This window comes from Homo sapiens, chromosome 2 (genome assembly GCF_000001405.40).
Source record: "Homo sapiens chromosome 2, GRCh38.p14 Primary Assembly".
In the NCBI taxonomy this organism is placed as follows: Eukaryota; Metazoa; Chordata; class Mammalia; order Primates; family Hominidae; genus Homo; species Homo sapiens.
The window spans coordinates 113,057,045-113,066,213 of NC_000002.12; the positions used below are offsets into that span (position 1 = coordinate 113,057,045).

Consider the following 9,169-nt stretch of genomic DNA (forward strand, 5'->3'; position numbering starts at 1 on the left):
GGAATCAGCAAGATTATAAAGCTGATTATCAAAAGATAATTCAGGGAATGGAGGCTTATACCGTCAGTCAAGAAATAAAGGCTGAAATAGGTTGGCTAAGTTACGTTTTAAAGACAGCTTTATGACTTGTGAGGCAATAAAACTGCACCCTTTGGAGTTATCTTTTCTATCAGACAGGAATAATGTGTAATTTATCAATGTTCTCTTAGTTCATGGCTAATTTCACAGAGTCTGAGACCTAATTAGTAAGTCAAGCAAAGGGATAGGTCCAGAGAGAACTTATTGTTGGTGAGGCCTGTTTGATAATGTTTTCATATAATATTGACAGTATACACAGTCATAGTTTCATTTTACTTATTATTTATTTATTTATTGAGGCAGAGTCTAGCTCTCTCTGTCATCCAGGCTGGAGTACAGTGGCTCAATCTTGGCTCACTGCAACCTCCACCTCCCAGGTTCAAGCAATTCTCACACCTCAGCCTCCTGAGTAGCTTGGATTACAAATGTGCACCACCAACCCGGCTAATTTTTGTGTTTTCAGTAGAGATGGGGTTTTGCCACGTTGGCCAGGCTTGTCTCATTTCATCTTATTTCTACTGTCATTCCATTTGGTCAATTTGTAATTTAATAATTTTGTACAAGGCAGTTTCTACATTAATTTTATTTTTCTGAAAAGTGTCTATCATATTAGTGGCATTATGAAAATCGTAGATTATTTTCTGTGTTTTGAACAACTTGATATTTTATTTATTCTTGAACACTTGTAGGACCTCTTGGCTCATATGTCTGAATACCATTTCTTTAAAATGTACGCTTTAACATGTACACATATGTAACAAACCTGCACATTGTACACATGTATCCTAAAACTTAAAGTATAATAATAATAATAAAAGAAAAAAGAAAAATAAAACTTAAAAAAAAAGTGTATGCTTTAACAATAAATTATTAATAAATAGTTATCTGTGTTATTCAAGATATAATTAAATTGTTTTTTGTGCACTGACCCTTACCTTTATTTCAGATCCATCACAGAGAGTGCATGGAGGTATTTAAACTGCATTAACTGTTTCACAATTAAGTATTATCTTATCAATTAGGTATTCAAGAAAGATCACTTACAGAATTATAGATGGCATGAGCTAGATTTTACTTTCTAAAGAAATAACCAGATACATGAGCAAAGATGTTAATACAAAGATGTTTGTCACAACATGGTTTTCAATAGCAAAAAAAGAGAGAAAAATATATAAAAGACAAATAACAGTGGATAGGTTTCAATAAATAATGTTACAGTGATACAGTTAAATACTATACAGCTATTGAAGCATGTCATTATTCATATTTAGTATGGAAAGATATTTTGCTATTTTGCCACATGAAAAAATGAGGTTGGAAAAAGTATAGGTTTTGTGAATCTGTTGTATGAAAGCTGTCTATAGTTACATGTGTATGTGTGTGGAGGAAATAGTGTTGTCATTGGTTTTCTGATGATGCACTCAGAAAAGACAAGTATTCACATTTTTTCTTGTGGCTGATCTGGATTTTCAGGTTTTTCTACAATGAACATGTAGGCTGAACATTCCCTAAGCAGGAGAGTCCCACCTCTAACATCTCCTGTAGGCCTGGCAATGGCAGGCAGGAAAGACAGAGGAAGGAAGGAGGGAGAAGGGAAGGAGTGAAGGAAGGAGTGAAAAAGGTAAGGAAGAAAGGGAATAGGGGAGGAAGGGAGGAAATGGGAAGGGAAAGAAGGAAAGGAAGGAAAGAGGGAGGGAAGAAAGGAAGGGAAAAGGGAGGGAGTGAGTGAATGAAAGATGGAAAGAAGGAAGAAAGGGAGGGAGGCAGGGAGGAAAGAAAGTCGCGCTTCCCTTGAGCTGCCATGGGCACTGACTCTTAGGGTCTGAAAGCCCCTGAGATGCAAAAGCCTAGTGCTCACAAAGAGCTGGAAAGCCTCAAGGAAGTTCTTCAATATTTCTGGAAGGAAACTGTCTCCAGAAGCTTCCCTCCCCACGACAGATAATGAGCAGCAAGTGCTTCTGGCGACTTAGGGTGATGTGAAATCACGCTGGGAATCCTGCTCCTCCTCAGGTCCTGGCAGTTTCAGGGCCCCTCCCTAGGCCTTACTTAAAAGGCTGAGGCATCCTTGGAGGAACAGGCAGACTCCACAGCTCCCGCCAGGAGAAAGGAACATTCTGAGGTATGCTCTGGGGCGCTGGTGGTACCGGAGCTCTCTCCTGACCCCAGACCCAGAATCTGCTCCGTGGAGGCTGTTCACATGCTGGGGAGCTCGGTGCAGCTGCTTGCTCCCCAGACCCCAGCCAACTCAGCCTCTCTCTCCATGATTTTCTGTTGTTTATTCCAAAATAGGGGAGTCTACACCCTGTGGAGCTCAAGATGGTCCTGAGTGGGGCGCTGTGCTTCCGGTGAGTGTATGAGGCCCTGGTTTGGTGGTGTCCTCCGGAGGAAGTGAGTTCTGGATAGACCCGTTGTCCAGCTCTGAGCAGGAGGGAGGAAGGGAGGGGCTGCCATTGCAGCTGGGAAATTGTGACCAGCACCTCACTGCTCTTAGAGTTTTCCCAGCCTTTTTCAAATAGGGGCAGGACTGGGGCAGGCCATCTCACAAGGGGTCCCTGATGCTGAGGGGGATAAGTGAACCTCCCAGTCTAGAGCTCCAGCCAAGTCTATCCAAGGTGGGAACGGGGGCCAGGATCCCTGCTCAGAGCTCCGCCATTGTCCCCCATCACAGTGAATGGATGTAAGCTCACCCACTCTGTGCCCCTGCCTCCCTGCTACTCTTTGGGGATAATAATAAAACAAAAACCATTACCATCAGTCAGTCTGTCCACCCACTGGCATGTACCAAGCCAGACACTCTGCCGTGTTCTGGGCTTTACAACAGAGGATGAGAGTGGTCCTTTCTCTCAGTCTAATAAAGCACTTCCCATGATGTGTTCTATGGGACTCGATTAGAGGAGTCCCACAGAGGCATCCAGGAGATGCTTTACACAGTGGAGCTCTCTGATCAAGTAAATGCAGGGAATTCTGCTTTCTACATCCTCTCATAAGAGAACCACAGCCCAGCTCAGCATATGAGTGACTCTGAGGTTTTCTGAAGTAAGGCAACTTGTTGAATTGTATTTAGCCATGCATCGACCCAATTTTTACACTGCATCCTTTTCCCCCATATAACTTTTGGAGAAACCCACTTTAGGATACATCTTCCACCTCATAGGATGCCAGGAAATCAACTGAGTTCAAAGATGAGAAACAACTTTGAAAAGTTAAATAAAAGAAATTTAAATTTAAAGAAACTCCTCACTTAGTAAGGAATATATGACCAAATAGAAATACATGTATCTTGAAGAATTGAAGAATCAGGCTTTAACGTGGAAGAGGCCTGGATGTTATCCAACCCATCATCTTAGTGTAGCAATGGGGAGGCTCAGGCCCAGAGTGGGCGAGAGAGTTGTCTCCTGCGACTCAGCAGCATTGGAGGCAGAGATGGGGCAAGAACCTAGGGCTCTGACTCACCGTGCAGCTTCTCTTCCAGCAGGAGATGGGTTGGGGCAGAAAAGGTTGAATAGGGTGAAGGAGCAAACCACAGACTCCAGTGGGAGACTGTGGGGTCATCCTCCTTGTAGGGCATGAGCCCAGCAGGGCTGGGAGACAAGGCTGTGCTGTTACTTCTGGCACAGTAGGAAGAAAGAGAGACAAAATGCCTGAGATCAGGGGGTTCTCTGGATCCAGGGCATGCTGGAGTGTCCACCCTCCTCCTAATGTAGTCCTCACCCCTTCCTGATGTTTCAGAATGAAGGACTCGGCATTGAAGGTGCTTTATCTGCATAATAACCAGCTTCTAGCTGGAGGGCTGCATGCAGGGAAGGTCATTAAAGGTTGGTGATGAAACATGACCCACTTTCCTTGGTCTCTATACACTCTCAGGGGAGGGGGCCTGAAGAGGGCTTAGAATAGTCATACAGATTAGCATAGGCCTACAGAGCCCAGGCATTGGGGCAGCACAAACCAGGCTCTAAGCAAAGGCAAATAAAATACTACACCTCTCAGCAAAGTGAAGACACAGGCTCTGGGGCCACCTGAAGCTTCTATGCAGAAGTGGGAATGTTTTCCAAGAGGCTTGTCTTGTCATTCCCTTACAGGTAGATTTAGGTCAAGCATTGCATTCCCTGGGAGCCAGTAAGTACCAAGGAGAGAACTAACGTAGATTCTCTATACCTTTTTTCCCATATGGGAGTGGGTTTCTGCCTCTCCACCCTGGGTCCCCTCTGCTCTCTGAAGATCCTCAGTCACTTAGAGTGGAGGGACCCAGAGAACAGGTGGCATTGTTGGACCTCCTGCTTGCTCACTCTGCCCCATGCACTGCAACACGTCCCTCTCTAAAATAGTTTGCACCTGCCCACCTGGGGCACCCTTGCTGAGCACAGATGCCAGGTAGATCCTTCAGCTAGGCCATATGTGTATGTGTGTGCTTACTGGTGTATGTATGTGTGCATGCAGGCATATATGTGTGAGCATGTGTGCATGCATGTATCTGTGTGTAACCATGTATGTGTGAGTGCAGGTATGTAGGTATGAGCATGTGTGTGTATATGTATATGTGTGCATGCATGTATCTGTGTATGTATGTATCTGATGTATGTGGGTGGTGAGGGGATGTACAGAGAGGAATGAGACCCTCTTTTGCTCTCAGCAACATCACAGGGTGTAGAAAGTTGTCCAAACAATTCCAAAGGGGGGCTTATCAAGACAGGGTTCAGAAAAAGGCCTGAGACCCAAGGGACATTAAAGGAGGGGGTTGAATCTATTTTGGGGTGTAGAGGCTTGAAGATTTGACCCTGAACTAGAGGGTGGAGTGGAGGTGGTACAATGTGCTTCCATGCCTTGATGTCCACTCTGAGCCAGTGGACAGGAGAAGCCATGTCATGACAGCTGCTGAGAAGCCTCCCTTCTGCCCAGCCTGGGGGCAGGCCGTCTTACAGCAGTCCTGTGCCCTAGAGCCCAGGACAGGGGAAGAAGGAGGGAAAGGCATCCAGGGCCCTGCATCTGGCCTCTTTCCCACAGGTGAAGAGATCAGCGTGGTCCCCAATCGGTGGCTGGATGCCAGCCTGTCCCCCGTCATCCTGGGTGTCCAGGGTGGAAGCCAGTGCCTGTCATGTGGGGTGGGGCAGGAGCCGACTCTAACACTAGAGGTGAGACTTGGGGCATCCTCACTGGGGACTCAGCCACAGATGCTGAGCCTACTGAAGCCGGGCAGCCCACAGCCCTGGTGCTGTGGGACACCCTAGCAGGATTCTGTTGATGGCAGCTTTGCCTCCTCCCTAAGGATCCTGCCCAGCCCTCCCTCTGCCCCTGCTTCTGCCCTCACCTGACCTCCCCTCCTCTGCCGGCAGCCAGTGAACATCATGGAGCTCTATCTTGGTGCCAAGGAATCCAAGAGCTTCACCTTCTACCGGCGGGACATGGGGCTCACCTCCAGCTTCGAGTCGGCTGCCTACCCGGGCTGGTTCCTGTGCACGGTGCCTGAAGCCGATCAGCCTGTCAGACTCACCCAGCTTCCCGAGAATGGTGGCTGGAATGCCCCCATCACAGACTTCTACTTCCAGCAGTGTGACTAGGGCAACGTGCCCCCCAGAACTCCCTGGGCAGAGCCAGCTCGGGTGAGGGGTGAGTGGAGGAGACCCATGGCGGACAATCACTCTCTCTGCTCTCAGGACCCCCACGTCTGACTTAGTGGGCACCTGACCACTTTGTCTTCTGGTTCCCAGTTTGGATAAATTCTGAGATTTGGAGCTCAGTCCACGGTCCTCCCCCACTGGATGGTGCTACTGCTGTGGAATCTTGTAAAAACCATGTGGGGTAAACTGGGAATAACATGAAAAGATTTCTGTGGAGGTGGGGTGGGGGAGTGGTGGGAATCATTCCTGCTTAATGGTAACTGACCAGTGTTACCCTGAGCCCCGCAGGCCAACCCATCCCCAGTTGAGCCTTATAGGGTCAGTAGCTCTCCACATGAAGACCTGTCACTCACCACTATGCAGGAGAGGGAGGTGGTCATAGAGTCAGGGATCTATGGCCCTTGGCCCAGCCCCACCTCCTTCCCTTTAATCCTGCCACTGTCATATGCTACCTTTCCTATCTCTTCCCTCATCATCTTGTTGTGGGCATGAGGAGGTGCTGATGTCAGAAGAAATGGCTCGAGCTCAGAAGATAAAAGATAAGTAGGGTATGCTGATCCTCTTTTAAAAACCCAAGATACAATCAAAATCCCAGATGCTGGTCTCTATTCCCATGAAAAAGTGCTCATGACATATTGAGAAGACCTACTTACAAAGTGGCATATATTGCAATTTATTTTAATTAAAAGATACCTATTTATATATTTCTTTATAGAAAAAAGTCTGGAAGAGTTTACTTCAATTGTAGCAATGTCAGGGTGGTGGCAGTATAGGTGATTTTTCTTTTAATTCTGTTAATTTACCTGTATTTCCTAATTTTTCTACAATGAAGATGAATTCCTTGTATAAAAATAAGAAAAGAAATTAATCTTGAGGTAAGCAGAGTAGACATCATCTCTGATTGTCCTCAGCCTCCACTTCCCCAGAGTAAATTCAAATTGAATCGAGCTCTGCTGCTCTGGTTGGTTGTAGTAGTGATCAGGAAACAGATCTCAGCAAAGCCACTGAGGAGGAGGCTGTGCTGAGTTTGTGTGGCTGGAATCTCTGGGTAAGGAACTTAAAGAACAAAAATCATCTGGTAATTCTTTCCTAGAAGGATCACAGCCCCTGGGATTCCAAGGCATTGGATCCAGTCTCTAAGAAGGCTGCTGTACTGGTTGAATTGTGTCCCCCTCAAATTCACATCCTTCTTGGAATCTCAGTCTGTGAGTTTATTTGGAGATAAGGTCTCTGCAGATGTAGTTAGTTAAGACAAGGTCATGCTGGATGAAGGTAGACCTAAATTCAATATGACTGGTTTCCTTGTATGAAAAGGAGAGGACACAGAGACAGAGGAGATGCGGGGAAGACTATGTAAAGATGAAGGCAGAGATCGGAGTTTTGCAGCCACAAGCTAAGAAACACCAAGGATTGTGGCAACCATCAGAAGCTTGGAAGAGGCAAAGAAGAATTCTTCCCTAGAGGCTTTAGAGGGATAACGGCTCTGCTGAAACCTTAATCTCAGACTTCCAGCCTCCTGAACGAAGAAAGAATAAATTTCGGCTGTTTTAAGCCACCAAGGATAATTGGTTACAGCAGCTCTAGGAAACTAATACAGCTGCTAAAATGATCCCTGTCTCCTCGTGTTTACATTCTGTGTGTGTCCCCTCCCACAATGTACCAAAGTTGTCTTTGTGACCAATAGAATATGGCAGAAGTGATGGCATGCCACTTCCAAGATTAGGTTATAAAAGACACTGCAGCTTCTACTTGAGCCCTCTCTCTCTGCCACCCACCGCCCCCAATCTATCTTGGCTCACTCGCTCTGGGGGAAGCTAGCTGCCATGCTATGAGCAGGCCTATAAAGAGACTTACGTGGTAAAAAATGAAGTCTCCTGCCCACAGCCACATTAGTGAACCTAGAAGCAGAGACTCTGTGAGATAATCGATGTTTGTTGTTTTAAGTTGCTCAGTTTTGGTCTAACTTGTTATGCAGCAATAGATAAATAATATGCAGAGAAAGAGAAACAAATGCATTTGTTTTATTATTGCAATTTTCTCCAATATTTTTTATTTTCTTTCTCACAATGAACAACTATCCTTCATTTACCCAAATATTCTATTTAAAAGCTAATAATACAGCATTTGTTGAGTCATCTGGTTCTGCAAGATTGAGATCCTCTTGTCCTATGTGCCAGGAATGAACTCCAGTGTCCCCACCCAAACCCTGGGGAATGGGAGCAGAAGCCAGAGGAGGAGCCCATATCTGAGCCCCAGGTATTCCACCTGCACTTCACCTGTTGGACCAGCTTGGTGGTTGAGAGTCCACTGAGGCACTGGCAAGGAGGTGGCCAGGACAGACAAGGCTGCCTCTATGGACCTCACAGCTCCAGCCCAGATTCAGCTGAAGTCCTCAGGCAACAGGCAGCACAGCTCCTACCCCAGGCCTCTCAGGGCTGCCAAGAACATGAGCTCCGGATGCTAGGCTGTGTTTCAGACCCTGTTCACACTCTCTTTGTCCATGGGCCCAGACACAGTCTTGTGCTGCTCCCTCTGCTTTTGGGTCCTCCATCCATCCTCTCTGCCTAGATAAATCTCTCATCTTTCAATACCCTGCTAAGATGTCACCTCCTCCAAGAAGCTTTTACTGAGTTGAGACACCCCCAGCTATCTGATCTGGCAATGTTTGTATGCACCTCCCTGCACTGTAGTACCTTAACTTGGAGTCTGTGGCCCCTGGGATGACCTTAAGGTTAGGGACATATAAGTTTGTCTCTTAGCACCTTGCATAATGCTTGGCACATAATGGAAACCCAATGAGTATATAATGTAGAAACTATTTCTCCACCCTGGAATATTCTCTCCTTCTCCTCCACCCATCTAAACAGGCCCACCTCTAAGGGAGCAGCTTAAATTCCACCTCATTCTTGAAGGTTTCTCCAGCCTGAATTTGTTGCTTCCTCATTTGTAGGATGACAGAACTCAGAAGAGCTTTAGCCATGATGAGCCGACACAAGTCAGTAGTAAAAGAAGGAATATAAAATGCCTCCTTCAGGAATGTACAGGCTGGACATCATGACTCTACAAGTGAAAAAGAGTTAGTGGCTTTAGATTTCTGCAATTTTGGTATAAATCACTGGCCTGGACCTGTATTTACAGAGATGCAATACTCACATCATGTGGGGTTTGTACAAATTGCAGACATCGAGGAACAGAGAATGTTCCAAGGGCAGGCTGTAGGGAAGAGGCTACGATGTGGGAGGTATTATCCTGAAAAAAGCAATGCACAGGGAGCCCTCTTCAAGCACTTAAAGGCTTGCCAAGTAGAAGAATGTGCTTGTTCTGTGTAATTCCAGAACACACAAGCAGAACCAATGGGTGCAAATTATGTGGAGGCTGTTTTTCCTATATGACCCCCATATTTTAACCACAAGGACCACAAACATTGATAGGGTTTCTTCAAGAGGTTGTGTGGTCCCTGACCCTGGAGATGTTAA

The 9,169-nt window shown here is 46.1% G+C and overlaps 1 protein-coding gene across 3 annotated transcripts; it reads left to right on the forward strand.

The window, feature by feature from the left end:
- Window positions 1,594-7,700, forward strand: IL36RN (interleukin 36 receptor antagonist). 3 transcript variants are annotated; one of them, XM_047443918.1, is made up of 6 exons: window positions 1,594-1,699; window positions 2,089-2,197; window positions 2,368-2,423; window positions 3,808-3,893; window positions 5,080-5,207; window positions 5,409-7,700. In XM_047443918.1, exons 3-6 carry the CDS (start codon window positions 2,395-2,397, stop codon window positions 5,631-5,633), a joined length of 468 nt encoding a protein of 155 aa, XP_047299874.1. In that variant the 5' UTR covers window positions 1,594-1,699; window positions 2,089-2,197; window positions 2,368-2,394; the 3' UTR covers window positions 5,634-7,700. The 3 variants fall into 3 exon arrangements, with proteins under 3 accessions (XP_047299874.1, NP_775262.1, NP_036407.1); NM_173170.1 differs by lacking the exon at window positions 2,089-2,197; NM_012275.3 differs by lacking the exon at window positions 1,594-1,699 and having other exon boundaries at window positions 2,154-2,197.